Source organism: Homo sapiens, chromosome 1 (genome assembly GCF_000001405.40).
Source record: "Homo sapiens chromosome 1, GRCh38.p14 Primary Assembly".
Taxonomy (NCBI): Eukaryota; Metazoa; Chordata; class Mammalia; order Primates; family Hominidae; genus Homo; species Homo sapiens.
In genome coordinates this window covers 10,031,033-10,055,961 of record NC_000001.11, presented here as the reverse complement: position 1 = coordinate 10,055,961, position 24,929 = coordinate 10,031,033, and the positions used below count along the sequence as shown (strand labels likewise).

Genomic DNA, 24,929 nt, shown 5'->3' with positions numbered 1-24,929 from the left:
CTACTTCTACTTCTGGTTTTGTTTTGTTTTGTTTTGTTTTTTTGAGACAGAGTCTTACTCTGTCATCCAGGCTGGAATGCAGTGATGCAATCTCAGCTCACTGCAACCTCCATCCCCAGCTTCAAGTGATTCTCCTGCCTCAGCCTCCCAAGTAGCTGGGACTACGGGCACGTGCTACCACACCCAGCTAATTTTTGTATTTTTAGTAAAGACAGGGTTTCACCATGTTGACCAGGCTGGTCTCAAACTCCTCATCTCAAGTGATCTGCCCACCTTGGCCTCCCAAAGTGCTGGGATTACAGGCATGAGCCACTGCGCCTGGCCAGCATTCACTACTTCTAACACTATTCCATAAAACTGATTCTGGTAACTTTTGCCCCATGTTGGCTGGGTGTGGTGGAGGAAGGCTTGAAGCCAGGAGTTGGAAACCAGCTTGGGCAACATAACGAGACCCCATCGCTACAAAAAAAATTTTTTAAATTAGCTGGGTGTGGCAGCACACGCCTGTAGTCCTAGCTACTCAGGAGGCTAAGACAGGAGGATCACCGGAGCCCAGGAGTTCAAGGCTACAGTGAGCTATGATGCTGCCAGTGCACTCCAGCCTGGGAAACAGTGAGATCTTGTCTCAGAATAAAGAAAGGAAAGAAAAGAAAAAGAAGGAAAGAAAAGAAAAGAAAAGAAAAGAAAAAATGATGAAAAGGTGGCCTACGAGACATTTTCACAAGCATTTGTTCCAATTGGCATTCATTAAAATTCTCCCACTCACAACCCATTCTAATCATAACATTTCAAGCCAAAAGATGCTTTATTCATGTTTCCCTAAACTAGAAATCACCAAACCTTTTGGCACAAGGACATCTGTTCAAAGTAAAAACACGCCGGGTGCGGTGGCTCACACCTGTAATCTCAGCACTTTGGGAGGCCGAGGCAGGTGGATCCCCTGAGGTCCGGAGTTCAAGCCCAGCCTGACCAACATGGAGAAACCCCATCTCTATTAAAAATACAAAAATTAGCTGGGCATGGTGGTGCATGCCTGTAATCCCAGCTACTCGGGAGGCTGAGGCAGGAGAATCGCTTGAACCCGGGAGGTGGAGCTTGCAGTGAGCCAAGATTACACCACTGCACTCCAGCCTGGGCAACAAGAGCAAAACTCCATCTCAAAAAAAAAAAAAAAAAAAGGAGAAAGATAATATTACAGACACCAAGGGAATGGGTACTGTTCCAAAAAAAATGCCCCGCAAGTGTTACCATGGCTAGACTGGAAGAGTCTACAATGTTACCCAGCATGCTGCTGGCATTGTAGTAAATGAACAATGGCAACAGTCTTGCCAAGAGAATTAATATGCATATTGAGCACATTAAGCGCTCTAAAGGCCAGCATCATTTCCTAAAACTCATGAAGGAAAATGATCAGAAAAAGAAGAAAGCCAAAGAGAAAGGTACCAGAGAAGCACACTGTGTGAGAACCAATGGGAAGAAGCCTGAGCTGCTGGAACCTATTACCTATGAATTCATGGCATAAGAGGTGTGAAAAAAATAAAAGACCTCTGAACTGTCAAAATGTTTCTCTTCATTGAGTAGAAGTGTGGTGTCCCCTCGCCCAAAGAACTATTTAAAGCAAATTTTAATTGTGTCCTAATTCATTATGCCATGTCTTTACTATTCAAATTTAATGTATTTCTTGCTGAAAGATGTGAGGTGGCTTACTGTGCAACAAATTACTCAATTGGTTAGAAAACAGCCAGATATTACTTACAAAATATTTGTATTGGTTTGAAGATAGTCCCTCTAAATCATCATGGAAGAAATAAAATAGCTTACAAAAATAAAAATTAAAAAAAGAATATGGAAATAAATGTTTATGTGTCAAAAATCCTGTCTTTTTTTTTAAAAAAAATCTAATATTTCTAATTACTACCCCAACAACAAAAAAAGATTTGATGAAGGAAAATGAGTTATCTAAAGATTCAATATCAGATGGACATGGTGGTTCACACCTGTAATCCCAGCACTTTGGGAGGCCAAGGCAGGAGGATCACTTGAACCCAGGAATTCAAGACCAGCCTGGGCAACATAGCGAGGCCTTGTCTACAAATAATAAAAGAATTAGCCAGGCATGGTGGCAACACCTGTGGTCACAGATACTTAGAAGGCTGAGGTGGGAGGATCACTTGAGCCCGAAAGGTCGAGGCTGCAAGTGAGCCGTGATCACGCCACTGCACTCCTGCACTCTAGCCTGGGTGACATAGCAAGACCTTGTCTCAAAAAAAAAAAGTTTTCAAAATCAGCCATGCAGCGGGTAGGGAGAGCATTAAGAAAAATAGCTAATGCATGCTGGACTCAGTTACTAAGTGATGGGTTGATAGGTGCAGCAAACCACCACGGTACACGCTTACCTATGTAACAAACTTACACATCCAGCCCATATACCCCAGAACTTGATTGTGCCACTGCACTCCAGCCTGGGCGACGAGCAAAATTCCATCTCAAAAAAATTAAATAAAAAATAAATAGGCCAGGCGCAGTGGCTCACGCCTGTAATCCCAGGACTTTGGGAGGCTGAGGCGGGTGGATCACGAGGTCAGGAGATCGAGACTACCCTGGCTACCACAGTGAAACCCCGTCTCTACTAAAAATACAAAAAAATTAGCCGGGCATGGTGGTGCATGCCTGTAGTCCCAGCTACTTGGGAGGCTGAGGCAGGAGAATGGCGTGAACCTGGGAGGTGGAGCTTGCAGCGAGCCGAGATCGCGCCACTGCACTCCAGCCTGGGCAACAGAGAGAGACTCCGACTCAAAATAAATAAATAAATAAATAAATAAAAGCCATGCACGGTTGTAAACACCTGTGGTCCCAGTTACTCGGGAGGCTGAGGTGGGAGGGTCGCTGATGAAATTAGGAGATGGGGCCTTTGGGATGTGATGAGGTCCTGAGGGCGGAACCCCTGATGACCTGCGGATTAATGCCCTTATAAAAGAAAGCCCAGGGGGCTCCTTTGCTCCTTCCTCCAAGTGAGGACACAGTGAGAAAACAGGTATCTATGAACCAAGAAGTTGGCTCTCAAGAAACTAAATCTCTTAGCACCTTGATCTTGGAACTTCTCAGCCTCCAGAATGCAGAACGGTGAATAACAAATTGCTGCTGTGTACAAGCCACCCACTTTATGGCATTTTGTTATAATAGTCCAAATGAACTACGACATCTACCCAGGCATATATCCACCCACACAGAAAAAGTCAATGACAACCAAGACCAGCTACAGAATGTTCAGGGCCCCATGACAAATGAATATGCAGGCTACCTTGTTCAAATGTATTAAGAATTTCAAGACAGCAACAGCAGAGCATTAAACCAAGCGTGGGGCACCTCTGCCTGCAGTCACATGCCTGTGAAGCTGGCCCTGGTGACAAGTATAGACACAGGTCTAACAAAAGACCATGATCACAGACATGATTCCTGAGGAGTGCCTGGCACGATGGGTGCTCAATATGATCTACCCGGACATCTTAGAAGTTCAATTCCCAAAAACGTCCATTAAAGCAGTGTGCTACCTCATCTAGTCAGAAAATCTAACTAATTAAATCACCACTGACCAGGCCCAGTGGCTCATGCCTATAATCCCAGCATTTTGGGAGGCTAAGGCCGGAGGATCATTTGAGCCCAGGAGTTCAAGACCAGCCTGGGCAACATAGTGAGACCCTGTCTCTACAAAAAAAAAAATTAAAAAATCAGCCAGGTATGGTGGCATGCACCTATAGTCCCAGCTACTCGGGAGGCTGAGGTGGAAGGATTGCTTGAACCCAGGAGGCGGAGGTTGCAGTGAGCCAAGATGGCACCACTACACTCCAGCCTGGGTGACAGAGCAAGACCCCGTCTCAAAAAAAAAAAAAAATGACACTATTAGACATCTAGAATTTATACCAAGCACTGACAGGGAACAAAGAAGCAATATGCATTGAATGTGTCATGTTTAATTAGAAAGGTAAAGTCACTTCTCAATCTAGGACCCAAAAGATACCTCTTTTCCCAGTCTTGACACTGCTGCCAAAGAACTGGACAAGATGCCAAAGATTTAGCAGCTGTTGAGTAGTTAATACAATGACATCCAATTCAGAGATTTTCTCCCCCTGCTGGGAGGGGTACAATTCTTTCAGAAGACAAAAATAAGTCATCTGATGGGAGTAAAGTGTGTCACCTCAGGCTGTATTCTTTAGTCCTGATATGCAGAACATTTCTCCTGGGACTCCTCGAGTCCCCTTTCTGCACACTCTTCTTTCCCTTTCAAAGCTCTACACTCCACCTTCACCCTCTTAGTACATTCAGGCCACCAATCACTCCACGTTTTAGAAAAAGTGGTAGCAGTGTGGCTCAATACAAAAGATGGCCCCTGGGTGAGAAGAGATTTTTGGAACTAATGGGTCGGGGGAGAGGATTCCAACCCAACCTTTCACATAAGCCACGGTCTATTTGCTACCTTAACTAGTAAGATACCACTATTTATGCTGTTGGCATTATTATATGCAAAAGATTTGTTAGATGTTATATGGACACCAACTAAAACTCCAATTATACACAATTCAATCTTACTTTGAGAACTAACTTGTCCCAAGAATCCACTCGGCCAGGTCACTACACCATGCACACTTCACATCACTCCAATTAATCTGAAGAACAGTGCTACGAGATGGTATTCCATACCCCCATTTTATAAGTGAGGAAACTGAGGCTCAGAAAGATTAAGTACTTTCCCCAGAATCATCCAATTTGTTGCTCCAAATAAAATCCAGGTAAGAGCCAGGAACAGTGGCATGCCTGTAGTCCCAGCTATTCAGGAGGCTGAGGCGGGAAAATCATCTGAGCCCAGGAGTTTGAGGCTGCAGTGAGCTATGATAATGCCACTGCACTCCAGCCTGGGCCATAGAGCAAGTCCTGTCTCAAAACAAAAAGCAAACAACCAAAAAAGCCTGCAAGTATGTCTGACTCTGAATTAGAACTCTGATAATGAGGCTTTTTTCATCAAGTGCCTACCTTAACCTAATTAACACAACTTAATGCAGCAAACAAATAAACTATTGCAATACTAGAATTGGGAGGCAGGCCGGTTGTGGTGGCTCACGCCTATAATCTCAACACTTTGGGAGGCCGAGGAGGGAAGATGGCTTGAGGCCAGGAGTTGGAAACCAGCCTGGGCAACATGGCAACATAGTGAAACTCCACCTCTATAAAAAAAAAAAAAAAAAGAATAGGAGTCCTGAAAAGACATGTTGTATCACTGCATTCATTCATGCATTGAACAAGTATTTGTTCTGAGCCACTCTGTGCCAAGCCCTGTGCCAGAACTTGGATAAAAAGCAGTAAACAAGAATAGCCAGGAGTTCATATCCCAGTAGGAGCTACACCAAGTGAATAAATAATTCAATGCAGTGTGGTTAATGTTAGGAGAGAAGTGATTTTAATGAAACCCCTTTCCCGTTCCTCCAACTTCTCCCTATCACCTACTCCTTCAGCTGCTGCAGACCCTTAGTGGTTTTGGAGAGCTTGGGGTCACACATTTGGCTATGCCTGATATATCTCAAAACCTTTCAGATCAGGCCAGGCACACTGGCTCACACCTGTAATCCCAACACTTTGGGAGGCCAAGGCAGGCGGATCACCTGAGGTCAGGAGTTCAAGACCAGCCTGACCAACATGGCAAAACCTGGTCTCTACTAAACATACGAAAATTAGCCAAGTGTGGTGGTGCATGCCTGTAATCCCAGCTACTCGGGAGGCTGAGGCAGGAGAATTGCTTGAACCCCAGAAGTGGAGGTTGCAGTGAGCCAAGAGCGCCACTGCACTCCAGCCTGGGTGACAAGAGCAAGACTCTGTCTCAAAAAAAACCAGCCTTTCAGATCAGCAAGCAGCTACCAATATCCCATATTTGCCATCTTCAGTTTTTCTCCAATGTTCTCATATTTCTATCATCAATTTCAAAAGAATGAATGTAACAGAATTTGCCCAGAGTAAGAAGTAAATGAAACATTTCTCTTCACCACAGACTTATTTTTCTAACTTTTTTTTTTTTTTTTTGAGACAGGGTCTTTTGCTCTCTCGCCCAGACTAGAGGGCAGTGACATGGATCATGGCTCACTGCACCCTGGACCTGCCGGGCTCAAGTGATTCTCCCATCTCAGCCTCCCGAGTAGCTGGGACCACAGGTGCATGCCACCACACCCAGCCATTTTGGACATATGGGGTCTCCCTATGTTGTCCAAGTTGGTCTCAAACTCCTGGACTCAAGTGATCTGCCCACCTTGGCCTCCCAAATTGCTGGGGTTACAGGCATGAGACACTATGCCCAGCCAACATTGTTTCCTAATTTAAAAAAATTTTTTTTTTTTTTAGAGAAAAGGTCTTATGATATTGCCCAGGCTGCCCTCAAACTCCTGGGCTCAAGTGATCCTCCTGCCTTGGCCTCCCAAGTAGCAGGGATTGCAGGCATGCATCATTGCGTCTGGCTACAGTGTTCTAATTGTCAAAATCCTAGTCATCTTTAAAGACTAATTCAAATCTTCCCAGTCCCCTCCCTACATTCCCCATCAGAATTAACTGCCCCATCAACCGTACCCCCTTTACTGAAATGTCTATTTAGCACTTGAAGTCTAGCTGGTTGCGTTCCTGTGTCCCCAGCTGCAGCCTGAGGTCACTGAAGGTAAAGACCAGGTCTTCGTCATATTCGAGCAGCATCTCCACATAGTCAGCCCTCAGTACCTGGCACAAAGCCCAAAAATATTTGTTGAAATTAAGCAAACAAATTAAATAATATTCAAGTCTCCTACTCTGAAATATTTGCCACTCAACTATTTTTTTAAGCTCTAAAAACTATAATATGATCCAATGTTCCCCATATTATGTCTCAAAATTTATTATTTGGAACTCTTCAGGCCCAAAACCTCATGCTAGGAATGATATACAAATATATCTCTACCTCTTTACTTCCTCCCTTGGGGAAAGAGAGAGAAACAGAGTGTTGAATGAATAAAGAAAGTAGTGATTATAGCAGAGAATGGGAAAAGTTAAAACAGAAAAAGATAAGCTCACCACATTTTCCTGTCACCTCTAAAACCCATGGCTTCTGCCAACTACAGATGGCTTCCCAGTGCACCCCTGGAGCCTACGCCTCACTCCTGAGCTCCCTCCCCTCTCCTCCCATTCTCTCTTGAACTTGCTCCAGTCAGCAATGAAATCAGTCTTGTCAAGGTAACCAAGGGCCTCCATGTCGCCAAATCCCATAGTCACGTCTTGGTCCTCCTCTAATTTTATCAACATTAGACACAGTTGAGCATTCCCCCACATCATGAAATACTTTCTTCCCCTGGACACCAGATTCCATGCTCTCTAGACTGTCCTCCAACCTCAGTGGCTGTTCCTTATCAGTCTCCTTTTCTGAGTCCTCCTGATCTCCCAACCTTTAATTGCTGGAATGGATGGAGGCTCAGTCCTCTTGTCTTCCGCATTTATGCTCACTCTCTAGGTAAAATCTGTCCATTCTCATGATTTTAAATACAATGACAACTTCCAGATTAGTATCCCTAACCCCAACCTCCCCCAAGAACTGCAAACTCCTATACAACCTATTTCACATCTCCATATGGACAAAGAACAGGCAGCATATTCATAATATGTTCAAACCAGATGATAACGTCTCCCTCCCAATCTTCTCTTTCAATTTTCCCCATCTCAGTAAATGACAATTCCATTTTTTGAGCTGCTTAAGCCAAAATTCCTGGTATCCCTGTGGTAGAAAAGCTAGTTGCCTCCCAAAACGCATTCAGGACGGATGCAGTGGCTCATGCTTATAATCCCAGGGCCTTGGGAAGCCAAGGAAGGAGGATTGTTTGAAGTCAGGAGTTCAAGACCAGCCTAGGCAACACAGGGAGACCCTCGTCTCTAATAAAAATTTAAAAATTAGCTGGGCACAGTGGCACACACCTCCCAGTTACTCAGGAGACTAAGGCAGAAGGATCACTTGAACCCAGGAGTTAGAGGCTGCACTGTACTCTAGCCTGGGTGACAAAAAATACCTTGTCTCTAAAAAAGTAAAATAAATAAAATGCATTCAACCATGTTTGCATTTGAGTGTGGCCAGGAGACTAAGCTCTAGCCAAGGAGATGTAAGTAATGACATATGGGCCAAGGGCGGTGGCTCAAGCCTGTAATCCCAGCACTCTGGGAGGCCGAGGCGGGTGGGTCATGAGGTCAGGAGATCGAGACCATCCTAGCTAACGTGGTGAAACCCCATCTCTACTAAAAATAGAAAAAATTAGCCAGGTGTGGTGGCGGGCACCTGCAGTCCCAGCTACTCGGGAGGCTGAGGCAGGAGAATGGCGTGAACCTGGGAGGCGGAGCTTGCGGTGAGCCGAGATCACGCCACTACACTCCAGCCTGGGCAAAGAGTGAGACTCCATCTCAAAAAAAAAAAAAAAAAAAAAAAGATATATGAAGCTTTCTGGCCATGCTCTTATGGGATAGAACATGCCCTCTCCTCCCACTTGAGTCCCTTCCTAAGGACTGGGATGCAGATTTCCTCAAAGAAGCTGGAGCAGCCCTCCTGGCCTATAAGCTAGAGGATGACAGTGCACAAAACAGCATGAGTCTGGCCCCCTAGCAGGCATGGAGTTACTAAGCCAGCTCTCAGCCACCTACCCAGATTTTCACTTGAAATAGAAAAAAATCAACATCTTGTTCAAGCCATTATTATTTCCGACCTCTGCCACAGCAGTCAAATCAATATCCTAACTAATACACAGAATCTGGAAGCTGGAAGTAATCAACCTTAACAATACAAATATGCAGCATTGGCTTAGGGGTCAGCATGGGCACAGATACTGTAGGATGGAAGAATGGCAACCCTCAGAGATCACAATAAAACATTTGGCAAAACCCGTGATATCTTAGAAAACAGCCTGCATGCCAACATGGCCTGTAATTCTAGGGGAACTGGTCGAACAATACAAAATTTGGTGCTTACTGGCTAAGAAGTCCTGCAAACATGAAGCAGACTCAAGCCAAAGCTTGCCAATTCGCATGCAAAGATGAAAGGGAATACAGTCTGCCTGAGGAATGTCCGCGGTCTACAATCAAAGTTTTCAGAGTCTGGTAATTTGGGGCTAAGTAGGGTTGAAAAAGCCTACTCCTTCAATATCCACAAGAAGCAAGCTGGAGAAACTGTTTAGCCCTACAAAAAGGATAGCCTCCAATGTCCACTTCAGATCTGACCCCAGAGGAAAAGAAACACAGAAAAACTCTCCAGAAAATAAAGTCAGAGGCTACAGAGGGCCAGGCACAAGGGAGCTCCTTCAAGAGACCAGAATCAAGGTTGCCAGAAAGGCGAGGTCAGAACCTCACAGTACTGCCAGGGGAGGAAGCGCTCACAGCTCAGCCTGGCAGGAGCTGACAATGGCTATGGACCAGCGCAGAGTATTACTCCCCATTCTTCCCTTTTCCAAACAGGACTTTCTACTTCCATTATCCTAACCTCTCCACCACTGTATGGGGGACAGCAGAGCCCCTGATAACTTTGTTTTAAACTAAAGATTCCTGGAATGTACATCACCCAGGGATTCTGGACTCTGAAGTTGATCCGGGGTTGTCTCCCTCGGGAGAAGGGTTTGGAAAGAAAGGCATAGACTGCTCTCCCTTTCTGATGTGAGAGAACGTATAGCTGAACACATGGCTGCCCAAGAAAAACTATTTCTCAGCCTTCCCAGCAAGTAGCTGTGGCCATGTGACTTGGGTTCCAGCCAGTGAGAGGTAAACAGGAGTGATCTGTGCAACTTTCAAGCTGTGCCATGAAGAGGCACATGACCTCCCCTCCCCTCTCTGGCCAGAATGCAGACATACAAGGGCCAAAAGATGGAAGCCATATGGTAGGAAAGTAGGTACAAGACAGAAGGCACCTGGGCTCCTAATGAGCGCAGAGCTGCCATACCAGCCCCGGCCTCCTACCCAGACTTCTATTTAGAGAGAAATAAACATCTATCTGGCTTAAGCAGCTGCCACTTCATGTCTCTCTGTTACAACAATCAACTCGATGATAACCTAACTCATCCCTGCACCTTGGACTCCACTCTTTCATACTCCACATGCAACTCACTACCCAATCCTATTGGCTCTACCCACAAAATGTATCTGACCATCTAGTGTTTGACCCTTTCTCCCCCTCTCAACCACTAACCCCAGTTGGTGGCCCCCACATCATCTCTCCCTGGGACTCCTTCGATGGCCGCCTTTCTCTCTGCTTTTGCTCTTTCCTCCTTATCTATTCTCTTCACAGCAGCCAGAATGCCCAGGAGGGCAGAGATTTCTGTTTTGTCCACAGGTGTACCCTCATGGTCTAGAACAATGCTGGACATAGACCATATTTCATCAAATATGTCAGACTGTAGACTGTACCATTATTTTTCACCACCAAGAGAAACAAAATATGGCACATTAAACCACAACAAAATGCCTGAACAACAGACAAGGACAGAGTTGTCATCAGTTACACCAGGCTCTCATAGCCCTGAAATTTCTTTCTGAGGAATGTGGAGTGTCTCTGACCTAAGGTTGCATTGCCTGAGTGTGAAATGCAATCCTCCTAACTGTATGTTCAGTTACAAAATGTGACATGGCTTCACACACTTATGGATTTCGGCCTCTCTGAAGCTCCCTAATGCGGGGGTCCCCAACCCCTGGGCCACAGACCAGTACCAAGCAAGCACGCGAGTGAGGGAGTGAAGCTCCATCTGTATTTGCAGCCACTCCCCATCACTCGCATTACTACCTGAGCTCCGCCTCCTGCAAGATCAGCAGTGGCATTAGATTCGAATGGGAGCATGAACCCTACATTGAGTTCTGCACGCGAGGGATCTACATTGCACCCTCCTTAGGAGAATCCAATGCCTGATGATCTGTCACTTTCTCCCATCACCCCTAGATGGACCGTCTACTTACAGAAAAACAAGGTCAGGGCTCCCACTGATTCTACATTATGGTGGGTTGTAAAATTATTTCATTCTATATTACAATATAATAATAATAGAAATAAAGGGCACAGGCCAGGCGCGGTGGCTCATGCCTGTAATCCCAGCACTTTGAGAGGCTGAGGTGGGTGGACTGCTTGAGCTCAGGAGTTCAAGAACAGCCTGGCCAACATAGTAAAACTCTATCTCTATCAAAAATACAAAAAATTAGCCGGGCATGATGGCGTGCGCCTATGGTCCCAAGTACTCAGGAGGCTGAGGTGGGAGGATCGCTTGAGCCCAAGCGGTGGAGTTACAGTGAGCTGAGATCATGCCACTGTACTCTAGCCTGGGTGACAAAGCGAGACAGGCGGGCGGTGGAAGGAGGGAAGGAGAGAGGGAGGGAAGGAAGGAAGGAAGGAAGAGTAAGGAAGGAAGGGTAAGGAAGGAAGGAGCACAACAAATGTAATATGCTTGAATCATCTCAAAACCATCCCTTCCCCTCCCACCACCACCACCCATGGAAAAAGTGTCTTCTACGAAACCAGTCCCTGGTGCCAAAAAGGTTGGGGACCACTGCCCTAATTCACTTGGTGGTGTTTGGCAATTAAATATGGAACTGGGCCAGGCGCGGTGGCTCCCACCTGTAATCCTAGCACTTTGGGAGGCCGAGGCAAGCCGATCATTTGAGGTCAGGAGTTCAAGATCAGCCTGGACAACAAGAGTAAAACCCCGTCTCCGCTAAAAATACAAAAATTAGCCGGGCATGGTGGCACGCACCTATACACCTATAATCCCAGCTACTCGGGAGGCTGAGACACGAGAATCGCTTGAACCTGGCACCTGGCAGGTGGAGGTTGCAGTGAGCTGAGATCCTGCCACTGCACTCCAGCGTGAGTAACAGAGCAAGACTCTGTCTCCAAAAAAAAAAGAAAAGAAAAGAAACGTGGAATTGTGGTCACTCCCCCAACAACAAACATTTTCTTTAGAAACAGCAAATGGACACCCCACCTCCTGTTTCCATTCCTCTCTGTATACAAAGTAACACTTGCTTTCATTGCTGAATCTAAGTGTAATTGTTTGGAAGGCATTTAAAATGGCAACTAATTTTAACACTGTAGCACTCAACTGAAGGGGTGATTACATGAACAGGTATAACCAGGTTCACACCTAAACAGGAAATGACAACTATGTCACAACTGCCACCTGGCCAACGGTGATTACACCATCTATTTATAAGAAGCATCCCGGCCCAGCGCGTTGGATCACGCCTGTAATCCCAGCACTTTGGGAGGCTGAGGCGGGTGGATCACGAGGTCAGGAGCTCGAGACCATCCTGGCTAACACGGTGAAACCCCGTCTCTACTAAAAATACAAAAAAAATTAGTCAGGCTTGGTGGTGGGCGCCTGTAGTCCCAGCTACTTGGGAGGCTGAGGCAGGAAAATGGTGTGAACCCAGGTGGCGGAGCTTGCAGTGAGCCGAGATCGCGCCACTGCACTCCAGCCTGGGTGACAAGAGTGAGACTCCATCTCAAAAAAAAAAAAAAAAAAAAAAGCAGCATCTCAATTTCAAAGATATTAAAATGTGATGAAAACAAGGGGGAGGAGAGTACATCTCAGAAATGATTGAAAAACAGTTGAGATCTCAGTAAGTTTTTACTGAAAGTTGGCCGGGTGCGGTGGCTCACACCTGTAATCCCGGCACTTTGGGAGGCTGAGGCCGGCAGATCACCTGAGGTCAGGAGTTCAAGACCAGCCTGGTCAACATGGTAAAACTCCAACTGTGCTAAGAATACAAAATTAGCCGGGCATGGTGGTGCATGCCTGTAATCCCAGCTACTTGGGAAGCTGAGACAGGAGAATTGCTTGAACCCCCGAGGCGGAGGTTGCAGTGAGCTGACATTGAGCCACTGCAGTCCAGCCTGAGTGACAGAGTAAAACTCTGTCTCAAAAAATTAAAAAAAAAAAAAAAGAATGAATGACTTTACCTCCTGCCACTGTGCCCCTTGCACAGAAGGCTCTAACCATGCTTGGCATCCTTGCTATTCCTGGAACAGCTCAAGAATGAGTTTACCTCAAGGCCTTCTGAACCTGCTGTTCCCTTTACCTGGGAACATTCTTCCCCGAGCAAGCTCCCAGCCATCCCTGAAATTCTTTTCAAGACCACCTCCTCAAAGTGCACACGTTACACATATCTGATTGTTCTCTGTACCTGTAGGCCACAGAAATACTCTGTAACAATACTCCATCCCTAAGTATTTCTCTTCACAGCACTTCTCATCAAATGACACCTTATGTGAACATGTTTGTTTGTTTGTTTCTTTGCTTTTGAGACACAGTCTCACTCTGTCGCCCAGGCTAGAGTGCAGTGGTGCAATCTCAGCTCACTGTAACCCCTGCCTCCCGGGTTCAAGCTATTCTCCTGCCTCAGCCTCCTGAGTTGCTAGGATTACAGGCGTGCACCACCACGCCCGGCTAATTTTTGTATTTTTAGTAGAGACAGGGTTTCACCATGTTGGTCAGGCTGGTCTCGAACTCCTGACCTCGTGATCCACCCGCCTCAGCATCCCAAAGTGCTGGGATTACAGGCGTGAGCCACCACGCCCGGCCATGCTTGTTTTTTATCCCTCTCCTCCCACTAGGACGAAGCTCCATACAGCAACGTTTGTCTGTTATCAGGGATGCAGCTAGTCAACTGTAAGCGCTGTTGAATGAACCGTTTACAGGAAGACATTTCCACTAGATACTACAAGTGCCGTGTGAGAAAATGCACTTTGCACAGAGAAGTCTTTCTGCCTTCTTTCCCTACAAGAGCTTGGGGCTACTTGATGAGCTCCACTCTCAGCAATAACAAACGGGAATGAAAGTCCACTGGAGGGCTGGGCCTGGCGGCGGGCGCCTGTAATCCCAGATACTCGAGGGGCTGACCCAGGAGAATCGCTTGAATTCAGGAGTCAGAGGTTGTAGTGAGCCAAGATAGCACCACTGCACTCCAGCATCATGCCTGTAATCCCACAACTTTGGGAGGCTGAGGTGGGTGGATCATTTGAGGTCAGGAGTTTGAGACCAGCCTGGCCAACATGGTGAAACCCCTCTACTAAAAATACAAAAATTAGCCGGGCAGTAGTGGCATGTGCCTGTAACCCCAGCTACTCGGGAGGCTGAGGCAGGAGAATCACTTGAACTCGGGAGGCGGAGGTTGCAGTGAGCAGAGATCGTGCCACTGCACTCCAGCATGGGGACACAGCGAGGCTCTGTCTTAAAAAACAAACAAACAAACAAAAAGTCCACTGGGGCTTCCACTTCCTATCTCAGAAGGGACCGTAAGAATGCTATAAATGTGGCCGGGCACAGTCGTTCACGCTTGTAATCCCAGCACTTTGGAAGGCCGAGGCGGGGGGATCGCCTGAGGTCAGAAGTTCGAGACCAGCCTGGCCAACTTGGAGAAACCCCATCTCTACTAAAAATACAAAAATTAGCTGGGCATGCTGGCGGGAGCCTGTAATCAAAGCTACTTGGGAGGCTTAGGCAGGAGAATTGCTTGAACCCAGGAGGCAGAGGTTGCAGTGAGCCGAGATCAGGCCATTGCACTCAAGCCTGAGTGACGAGAGCGAAACTCCATCAAAAAAAAAAAAAAAAAAGAATGCCAAAAAGGTTACAGTTGGCTGAGGTTAAGTCTTGTTTTAGAGGTAGTAAAGCGATAGAAAACTCTGGAGTCAGAACCTGGATTAGAGTCCAGGTTCTACCACTTACTAGTTGTGTGCCTTTCAATAAATTAATTTCTATTAGCCTCCATTTTCTTATCTGTAAAACAGGGGATAAGGATGCCAACCTTGTGAAGCAAGTTTATATCCTTATTATCATTCTCTGTCTCTTGTCTACAATGAACAAAAGGAGAGGAAAGGGCCTGGCAGGATACATCCCACTGTCCTCCCAGGCTTAAGAAAGAGTCCTGGTTATAAAGTGAATGGTAGCAACTATCTTCTGAGGAAAAAAGGGACCTCAGGTCCTCAGGCCTGTTACAAGGGAAGAAATGGTCAAAGAGGTGGGGATGTTAGGCTGGGTGCGGTGGCTCACGCCGGTAATCCCAGCACTTTGGGAGGCTGAGGCAGGCAGATCACCTAAGGTCAAGAGTTTGAGACCCGCCAAGCCAACATGGAGAAATCCCGTCTCTAATAAAAATACAAAAAAATTAGCCAGGCATGGTGGTACATGCTTGTAATCCCAGCTACTCGGGAGGCTGAGGCAGGAGAATCGCTTGAACCTGGGAGGCAGAGGTTGCAGCGAGCTGAGATCGCGCCATTGCACTCCAGCCTGGGCAACAAGAGCGAAACTCCATCTCAAAAAAAAAAAAAGAAAAAAGAAGAAAGAAATGGAGATGTTAGAGCACCAAGGCCAGAGTGGGGGTCTACATGTGGACTCATCTTTTTGGTGGTCCAAAATTAAACTTGCAATCTCAGCACTCTGGGAGGCTGAGGTGGGCAGATCACTTGAGCCCAGGAGTTTGAGACCAGCCTGGGCAACATGGCAAGACCCTGTCTCTACAAAATATACAAAAATTAGCCGGAGGCCTGGCGTGGTAGCTGACACCTGTAATCCCAGCACTTTGGGAGGCCATGGCAGGCGGATCACCAAGGTCTGGAGTTCAAGACCAGCCTGGCCAATATGGTGAAACACCGTCTCTACTAAAAATTAAAAAATTAGCTGGGCATGGCTGGCAGCTACTTGGAAGGCTGAGGCAGGAGAATCACTTGAACCCAGGGGGCAGAGGTTGCAGTGAGCTGAGGTTGCGCCACTGCACTCCAGCCTGGGCGACAGAGGGAGACCCTGTCTCAAAAGACGAAAAAAAAAAAAAGAAACATGTGCTTTCTCCAAAATCTGCTGCTTCTCTGGAATTCCTTATTCAACCCTTATCTATCCTTCTCCATAGCTAGAAACCAAGGTGTCATTTCTCCATCTCTCCTCCCCTCCCCTCCTTCACAGCTAACTGATCATCAAAACTGGGTTAATCACAGTCCTTGGTATTTTTGGTGTCTGTCTGCTCCCCTCCATTCCCACAGGCAATGCCTTAGTTCCCTTGGACTCCACTGCCTCGCTCCTATACAGCAACAACAGCCTCCTAATATGTCTTGCAGTCTGCAGCCACCTTCTCCCAAACTACCCTTTACTCCCTTGCCACCCATCTTTCTAATCTCTTAAAATCCCTAAAAGGCATTTTACAGAGAAAGTTCAAACTCAGCCACGTGCAGTGGCTCACGCCTGTAATCCCAGCACTTTGGCAGGCAGAGGCAGGTGGGCCACTTGAGGTCAGGAGTTTGAAACCAGCCTAGTCAACATGGTAAAACCCCATCTTTACTAAAAATACAAAAAAAAAAAAAAATCAGCAGGGCATGGTGGCATGCACCTGTAATCCCAGCTACTTGGGAGGCTGAGGCAGGAGAATCACTTGAACCCGGGAACCAGAGGCTGCAGTGAGCCGAGATCATGCCACTTCACTCCAGCCTGGGCAACAGAGAGAGATTCTGTCCCAAAAAACAACAACAAAAAGAAAGTTCAAACTCCTAAACGTTTCTGACAGCCCTCCAAGATCAGGTACCTGCCACACACCCGAGGTAAAACCCACCTCTCCAGTCACACTACTTGCTGCTGTTTCTTGAGCTCCCCAATTTCGAGCCAGTTCCCAGGGCAACTGCTACTCAGCGTTAAGTATCACTTTTTCTTGAAAGTCTTCACTAAGACCCTGCCTCTCCCGGGGTCCCTTCTCATGTTTCTTAAGTGAGTTGTGCATACCTCCACCATAGCACCTGGCACTATTCTATAACTGTTGGATTCCTATCTATCTCCTCTACTCAAATTTAATTATAATTGCTTTTTTGTTTGTTTTTCTGTGTGTGTGTTTTTTTGTTTGTTTGTTTTTTTGATGGAGTCTTGCTCTGCCTCCCAGGCTAGAGTACAGTGGCGCAATCTCGGCTCACTGCAACCTCTGTCTCCTGAGTTTAAGCAATTCTCCTACTTCAGCCTCCTGAGTAGCTGGGATTACAGGTGCGTACCATCACACCCAGCAAATTTTTGTATTTTTAGTAGAGACGGGGTTTCACGTGATCCGCCTGCCTCGACCTCCCGAAGTGCTGGGATTACAGGCGTGAGCCACCGCGCCCGGCCCCAACTCCCAAATTTTTAACGCGACAGGCATTTAAAAAAAAAATTGGGAGTGGGAGGACCAGTACCAAAAGCCCTGATCACATCATGAATGCATTCATGCAAAACAGCACTTCTACAGAAAAACTATGTATATCAAAACAGAGTGGGTCAGTGTTACGTAGGATGTTGATACAAAAGCTGTGGTGAATTTATGTCAGTTGTTGAGCAGTAGAATAAAGAGGACTTTCGAGTCCAGAGCACTGGGTTTGAATTCCAACCCCATCACTTCTAAGCCAGGTCGCTATGGACAAGTTACTTAACCTGAATCCCAGTTTCCTGACTTGTAAAATTAGGAAAACAGTACCTGCTTGATTATAATGTTTTCTCTAATGAGAAACAGCTATCAAGTGCCTGGCACAGAAGAGGCTCCTAAGGCTGTTGTTTAATGTCAATTTTCTTCCACTTACAGAACCTTGCTAAAAAGTCCAAGGTCACATATTCTGCATTTGGAAAGGAATACTTAAAACACTTTCTAAATCTTTTTTTTTTTTTTTTGAGATGGAGTTTCACTCTTGTTGCCCAGGCTGGAGTGTAGTGGTGTGATCTCGGCCCACTGCAACCTCCGCCTCCCGGGTTCAAGCAATTCTCCTGCCTCAGCCTCCTGAGTACCTCGGATCACAGGCATGTGCCACCACGCCCAGCTAATTTTGTATTTTTAGTAGAGATGGGGTTTCTCCATGTTGGACAGGCTGGTCTTGAACTCCCGAACTCAGGTGATCCACCCACCTCGGCCTCCCAAAGCGCTGGGATTACAGGCGTGGGCCACTGCGCCCGGCCAACACTTTCTAAAATCTTGACCACACCCGGAATCCCAGCCAACCATCTTGCAGATGAACTAGGTCATAAAGAAGAGTTAGGAGAGAAAAATCACTTATGCAATCTCATTACCATTGTCGAAAAACAGTTTAAAACACCTACTTGGCTGGGCATGGTGGCTCATGCCTGTAATCTCAGCACTTTGGGAGGCCAAGGCGGGTGGATCACTTGAGCCCAGGAGTTTGAGACCAGCCTGGGCAACATGGTGAAACCCTGTCTCTAGAAAAAAATACAAAAATTGGCCAGGTGTGGTGGCATGAGCCTGTAGTCTCAGCTTGGGAGGCTGAGGTGGGAGGATCACTTGAGCCCAGGAGGCAGAGGTTGCAGTGAGCCAAGATCATGCCATTGCATTCCAGACTGGGCGATAGAGCCAGACCCTATCTCAAAAATAAACACACCACCTACTCACAGCACCACCTTGAGATACGAAAAACAACACATGAGTAGATTATAGAATTAATATAATGTAAATAATGATGCCTTGGAATGTAGGTTCCTGAAGAGAATGAACTTAGTCATGGTTCTGCAATGAACCTATAGGCAGTGAACTATAGGGCAATGAACTCACTGTAATACACTATATAAATAACAAACAACAGTGAAGTTAAAGTACTCTACTTAAAAGCACAAGACTACCGGGCACAGTGGCTCATGCCTGTAATCCCAGCACTTTGGGAGGCCGAGGCAGGCAGATCACCTGAGGTCAGGAGTTCAAGACCAGCCTGACCAACATGGAGAAACCCCGTCGCTACTAAAAATACAAAATTAGCCGGGTATGGTGGCGCATGCCTGTAATTCCAGCTACTTGGGAGGCTGACGCAGGAAAATCGCTTGAACCCGGGAGGCAGAGGTTGCAATGAGCCAAGATCGCGCCATTGCACTCCAGCCTGGGCAACAAGAGCGAAACTCTGTCTCACAAAAAAATTTAAAAAGCACAAGAATTCTAGGTGATCTATGACAGGGACCAAAAAGTGCACATAATTTAAAAGTTCCTAAAGCTACCAGTCTGGTTATACCAGCCTTTTTCACGGACTGTATAATCATACATTTTCATTTTGTTAAAATATGAAACTCTGCCTTACCTAATTTCCTAAATTAGATTAAAAGATCACCGCCTTGCCTGTTTTAACCCTGAAATATAAGCTTGAAGTTTCAATAATATAAGTGTATTATTTTGTAATCAAATCAATGTCACCTACCATATCTGACACAAGTTTTCAACTACAGAGTAACAATACAAAGGCAAAAGCTTTGGAAATGTCTCATGAGAACTGCTTACCTAACCTCAAAAATTTTTAATTGAATTAAAAAGAAAAACTTCAAAGATATTTTTCCCAAAATAACTATTTGTCTGGCTCCCACTTTGGGAGGCTGAAGTGGGAGGATCGCTTGAGGTCAGGAGTTTGAGACCATCCTGGGAAACATGGCAAGACCCCCGTCTCTACAAAAAAAAAAAAGATTTTTTAAATTAAAAACAAACGAATATTATTTGTTCTAGGTTCTGCTGAGAGTAAAATTAACAGTTATTGAACCAGCCCTTTGTGTTCTGGACAACTAATTTGTTGAAGATAATTTTACATTGATCCTGTATTAGTGAATTTAATTTTTTTCATTTATTTTAATATTCTGTTGACCTTGAAAAAAGTTTATTCTATTTCTTCCACAAAGGTTACATGTGTTCCTCATATGGTCACAAAAAAAAGTTACACCTTCCTCAAGGACTGATGAAAGTGAAGAGACACATTTTAGATTATACAATATCTTCACTGGTCTGTAATGCCTCACTGGTTTGAAAAGAATTTTTTGGTGAAAACTCAAGTATGCAAAAGCCTCTAAACCAAGGACTATTAACAGATCATCAAAAAAAAAAAAAAAAAGTAATTTATAGGAGTAAAGGACTACTAAAAAACTACCTCGGCCGGGCGCGGTGGCTCACACCTGTAATCCCAGCACTTTGGAAGGCCGAGGCGGGCGGATCACGAGGTCAGGAGATTGAGACCATCCTGGGCTAACACGGTGAAACCCCGTCTCTACTAAAAACACAAAAAATTAGCCGGGCGTGGTGGCGGGCGCCTGTAGTCCCAGCTACTCGGGAGGCTGAGGCAGGAGAATGGCGTGAACCCGGGAAGCGGAGCTTTGCAGTGAGCTGAGATCGCGCCACTGCACTCTAGCCTGGGCAACAGAGCGAGGCTCCGTCTCAAAAAAAATAAAATAAAATAAATAAAAAATAAAAAAAAATAAAAAAACTATCTCTGGCCGGTCACGGTGGCTCACGCCTGTAATCCCAGCACTTTGGGAGGCCGAGGCGGGCAGATCACAAGGTCAGGAAATCGAGACCATCCTGGCTAACACAGTGAAACCCCGTCTCTACTAAAAACACAAAAAAATACAAAAAACTAGCCGGGAGTGGTGGCGGGCGCTTGTAGTCCCAGCTACTCCGGAGTCTGAGGCAGGAGAATGGCGTGAACCCGGGAGGCAGAGCTTGCAGTGAGCTGAGATAGCGCCACTGCACTCCAGCCTGGGCGACAGAGCGAGACTCCGCCTCAAAAAAAAAAAAAAAAAAAAAAAAACAGTATCTCTGCCTTAAGAGAAATTACTCACTAGAATTAACATTAATGAAAAACGGGGGAGGTAGAGAAACTTTTAAAAAACCACATAAAACAGGCCAGGCGCGGTGGCTCACGCCTGTAATCCCAGCACTTTGGGAGGCTGAGGCGGGTGCATCACGAGGTCAAGAGATGGAGACCATCCTGGCCAACATGGTGAAACCCCATCTCTACTAAAAATACAAAAAATAGCCGGGCGTGGTAGCGGGCGCCTGTAGTCCCAGCTACTCAGGGGGCTGAGGCAGGAGAATGGTGTGAACCCGGGAGGCGGAGCTTGCAGTGAGACGAGATCGCGCCACTGCACTGCAGCCTGGGCGACAGAGCAAGACTCCGTCTCAAAAAAACAAACAAACAAAAAAAAACCCACATAAAATAAAGCGATTCTAAGGAGATTTCCTACCGAATGAAAGAAACTGTGTAATATTCTCTTCACTTAAGATTACATTTCTGCTGTATTCGAAAAAAACAAAGTAACGCCGAATGGGCAGTCCTGATTTTCCAAACCAAGTATCCAAGTATCACAATCAACAAAATCATTTGCTTCCTTTCCTACCTGACCCTTAACACACCACTGCGTGTCCTATCCCAGGAGAATTTCAGTCCCTAAGTAAACACACTAAGTACTCTGTAGCTAAAACTGGAGCATGGAAGTCTTGTAGTACAATCAACTTGATGGATGACTGCTTTCCTAATACTGTAGGGAAGTTTACATGATGAACCAGTGAAGAAATGTGGAGGTAGGCTAAAGAGGGTATGGCCAGTAGGGGTCCTGAAAGGGAAGCTCCTAATTTGCAAAAAGGAAGAGAAAAGGCAGTAGAATCATAGGAAATTCCTTGTACCCTAATTGCCACTGCTTTTTGGTTGTTTTTTTTTTTACAACAACCTAATTTATTAAACAATCTTTAAAACATCAAGAAGTAGATCTGTATAACTCCTTTAAGAAATGAGAACAGGAGAGAGTTTAGAAAGTCATTTGCTTCCACTTGCTTCCCGTTCAGTCTCTGCTACAGCAAAACACAAGTTTGAAAGATTCAAGAAGTAGGAAAAGATAGAATGTAACAGAAGAATGCCAGAAGTCATTAGTGGTCTATTAAGTACCAGAATATAACTGGAATTCTCTAAACTGTGGAGAAGATACATATTTTGTTAAATATCAAAGAATCTGTCTGTAAACCACCCCTCAAGCAAAAATATATGTTTAATCAAGCTTATACAGTGCAATAACCACACATATCTGGAATTTCAAATGCTTTCTTTAAAAATATTCACCCACCATACATTCTCATTCCATCCAAAATTGTTCTTTAAATTCCTGAAGACACAGACACACACACACTTTAACTTCATGTAAATCTCGCCCTTCTTGTTCGCATACCCTGAAGAAAAGAATAAACACCTCAAGATGCTCTCTCCTCTTGTTCATACCCTAAAAGAACACTCGGAAAGAAGCAAATGGAGTTCAGAATGAAGAAAGAAGGCAACAGAATAAAGGAGAACAAAACCAGAGACCCTATCGGGGAGTCACGTTATTCTTGGAAAATATCATCTCCGTTCCTTCTCCAAGCCCAAAGGCCAGACAGCACTGGCGCAATACCATCCCTGTCCAAAGCGCTAACGAGTTGCCAACTAATCCCTCAAGGTGTCCCCCAACCTCCTCACCTCATCAGCGCTCAGCTCCTCCATCGCTTTCCTCTTAATGGTGAAAGGCGTTAAGGAGAGATCCTTCTGTTCTCGAGACCACGGCGGGAGGAAGGAGAGTGGAAGGTGTCTATCAGGCTGTCTGGTCCCCCGAATGGGGGAGGTTTCAGAATTGCATAGTCAGAGGTTAAAAAATAAGAACACGAGAGGCACTAAACTGCCTTGGCTTCGGTCACTCCAGTCGCCCCACAGACTACTACAGCCGCTTGTTCCCTGAGCAGCCTCCTTTGGCCGCCACTGCTGCTGCTACAGGGTTGTCTTAAGGCGCCACTTATTACCCTCTGCTTCCCAGGTTACCCAGCTAGGCAGCGCGGTCTCCAGTTCGTCTCGTGCCCCGAGCCTGCTGTTTCTTCGTGATAGTGGCGCGGTAGCTGCGTTCCTACAGCAGATCCTGCTCTCCTTCCTACCCTTTGCTCCTGGCGGGAACTGGTCGACTGCAGAGTGGATACCCCGAGGTAAGGCGACCCCACAGCCGTCCTGGCAGAGCCCAGCACTGTAAGGGAAGCCCCTCCCCTCCCAAAGCAGGCCGGCCACGCCCCGCCTCCACGCCGGAGCCCGGGTAGGGGGGAGGGGGAGGATGGGATGCGCGTAGCTCTCGCTGGAAGAGTAAATCCTCCTACCCCTCCACCCCTACTCTTTCCCCCTCGCCCCACCAAGTATTATTCATCAAAACAACAGGGCGGCCATCTTTGAAAGGGATCACGTGACCCCCGTCAGGGAGGCGGGGCTTCTGGCGCCGGGACGTGGCAGCCAATAGGCCGCGGGCGCCGCGCCGCCGAGTTCCTCTCGCCTGCGTCCTCTCCCCGCCTCCGTCCCACCCCGTCCCGCGCAGCCGCGCCGGACGTGGGGAGGGGCAAAGGGAGGCTGGCGGCTGGGCGGGGCGTTGCCACGGCGACCGCGCTGGGGCTGCGGGCGCGGCGGGCCTGAGCCAGGTAGGCTGGCAAGGGGAGGGACGACTCCCAGACTCGCGTCGGGGAAGATCCACCAGAAGGTGGCGCTGGCCCGCGGCCCGGGGGCCCGCCGCGCCTCCGTTGTTCCCAATCGCCTGCTTTTCTGTGACTTGGGGGCCTAGAAACACCTCATCGCTCCCACTGGACTGTGCGCGCCCGCCGCCTAAGCGAGGGAAAAGAAAACGGAAAACGTCTCCTTGACCCCGGGAGCGTGATCTACCGTATTGAGCGCTCATTTTCTGAAACATCTGCCACACACTCTTCCACCTCCTCCAGGAAAGCCCAGTTGGAAGAAAACTCGAACACAAGAACTCCCATTCATTTTATTTTACCTTGGCCTTTTAGAGATACTTCCTGGGTTTTTTTTTTTTTAAGTGTGTTCAAAAAGTATTGGTAAAATTTGAAAGTATAAATGGATGAGAGACCCAAATCACTGAATTGTACACAGCAAATGCAAGGAAGACGTTTGGAGTCAGTGGGGGAAAACCATCCTCCGGTGCACAAGAATACAAATATTTGGCCGGGCGCGGTGGCTCACGCCTGTAATCCCAGCACTTTGGGAGGCCGAGGCGGGCGGATCACGAGGTCAGGAGATCGAGACCATCCTGGCTAACACGGTGAAACCCCGTCTCTACTAAAAAATACAAAAAATCAGCCAGATGTGGCGGCGGGCGCCTGTAGTCCCGGCTACTCGGGAGGCTGAGGCAGGAGAATGGCGTGAACCCGGGAGGCGGAGCTTGCAGTGAGCCGAGATCGCGCCACTGCACTCCAGCCTGGGCGACAGAGCGCGACTCCATCTCAAAAAATATATATATATGTATGTATATATATATTTATAAAATATAAATCTAAGTTGAGCGATCAAAGTAACAGTACCATGAAATTCCAGATTTTGCCGCTGACGAAGACTATAAGTGGATTGGATGGCTCACTAAGCCATAAAGACTGCATTCCAGAATTAAGAGTTACAATGTATTTGCTACATGCTTAAAATAGGAACCTGACTACTAGATATGTAAGGAATTTGTGAGTAAAAATATGTAAGGAATTTGTGAGTAAAAATAAATCACTGCTGGCTTTGCATATTATCTGCTCTCCAGGAAAGGAATTCTGTGTAAGCCAGAACTTGAACCCCTGGTGACATTGATGTTAAAAGTTTACTTTTTTTAACCTCATTATTGCCATCTAATTTACATACCATACAATTCACCCAATTAAGGTGTACAGTGGTTTTATTATGTTCACAGTTCAGTCATCCTCACTGTCCAATTTCAGAACATTTTCATCATCCCAAAAAGAAACCCTCAAAGCCATTAACAGTCACTCCCGGGCTGGGCGCAGTGGCTCACGCCTGTAATCCCAGCCCTTTGGGAGGCCAAGGCGGGTGGATCAAGAGGTCCGGAGTTTAAGACCAGCCTGGCCAAGATGGTGAAATACAAAATACAAAAATTAGAAGGGCGTGGTGGCGGGCACCTGTAATCCCAGCTACTTGGGAGTCTGAGGCAAAGAATTGCTTGAACCCGGGAGGCAGAAGTTGCAAGGAGCCGAGATCGTGCCACTGCACTCCAGCCTGGGCAACAGAGCGAGACTCCGTCACAAAAAAAAAAGACTCCTGCAGGATAACTACCTTCTGTCTTGGTGAATTTGCCTATTCTGGACATTTCACATCAGTG

The 24,929-nt window shown here is 46.5% G+C and overlaps 1 protein-coding gene and 1 pseudogene across 6 annotated transcripts in view, besides 5 other annotated features; one reads left to right on the top strand and one right to left on the bottom strand.

Moving 5' to 3' along the window:
* Window positions 1–23,004, bottom strand: part of UBE4B (ubiquitination factor E4B) — a 148,282-nt gene extending 125,278 nt beyond the window's left edge. For 5 of the 6 annotated variants that reach the window (NM_001410744.1, NM_001105562.3, NM_006048.5 and 2 more), the window contains exon 1: window positions 22,268–23,004. In NM_001410744.1, the coding sequence (NP_001397673.1) occupies window positions 22,268–22,291 (24 nt within the window). In that variant the 5' untranslated portion in view covers window positions 22,292–23,004. Of the gene's footprint in view, window positions 1–6,606; window positions 6,731–22,267 lie in introns of those variants that run through there. The other variant, XM_047428018.1, reaches the window with a different exon arrangement.
* Window positions 1,181–1,550, top strand: RPL21P21 (ribosomal protein L21 pseudogene 21; annotated as a pseudogene).
* Window positions 22,137–22,186: an enhancer, noted in NCBI's record as "active region_141". NCBI's record gives its function as "activates an Ori minimal core promoter by ATAC-STARR-seq in GM12878 lymphoblastoid cells {active_cell/tissue: GM12878}" and the evidence as "EXISTENCE:reporter gene assay evidence [ECO:0000049][PMID:35858748]".
* Window positions 22,578–23,232: an enhancer, noted in NCBI's record as "NANOG-H3K27ac-H3K4me1 hESC enhancer chr1:10092788-10093442 (GRCh37/hg19 assembly coordinates)". NCBI's record gives its function as "activates a minimal SCP1, AML or CMV promoter by ChIP-STARR-seq in primed H9 embryonic stem cells {active_cell/tissue: H9 hESC(primed)}" and the evidence as "EXISTENCE:reporter gene assay evidence [ECO:0000049][PMID:30033119]".
* Window positions 22,578–23,386: a biological region, named in NCBI's record as "NANOG-H3K27ac-H3K4me1 hESC enhancer GRCh37_chr1:10092788-10093442".
* Window positions 22,747–22,966: a silencer, noted in NCBI's record as "silent region_241". NCBI's record gives its function as "represses an Ori minimal core promoter by ATAC-STARR-seq in GM12878 lymphoblastoid cells {active_cell/tissue: GM12878}" and the evidence as "EXISTENCE:reporter gene assay evidence [ECO:0000049][PMID:35858748]".
* Window positions 22,997–23,386: a silencer, noted in NCBI's record as "silent region_240". NCBI's record gives its function as "represses an Ori minimal core promoter by ATAC-STARR-seq in GM12878 lymphoblastoid cells {active_cell/tissue: GM12878}" and the evidence as "EXISTENCE:reporter gene assay evidence [ECO:0000049][PMID:35858748]".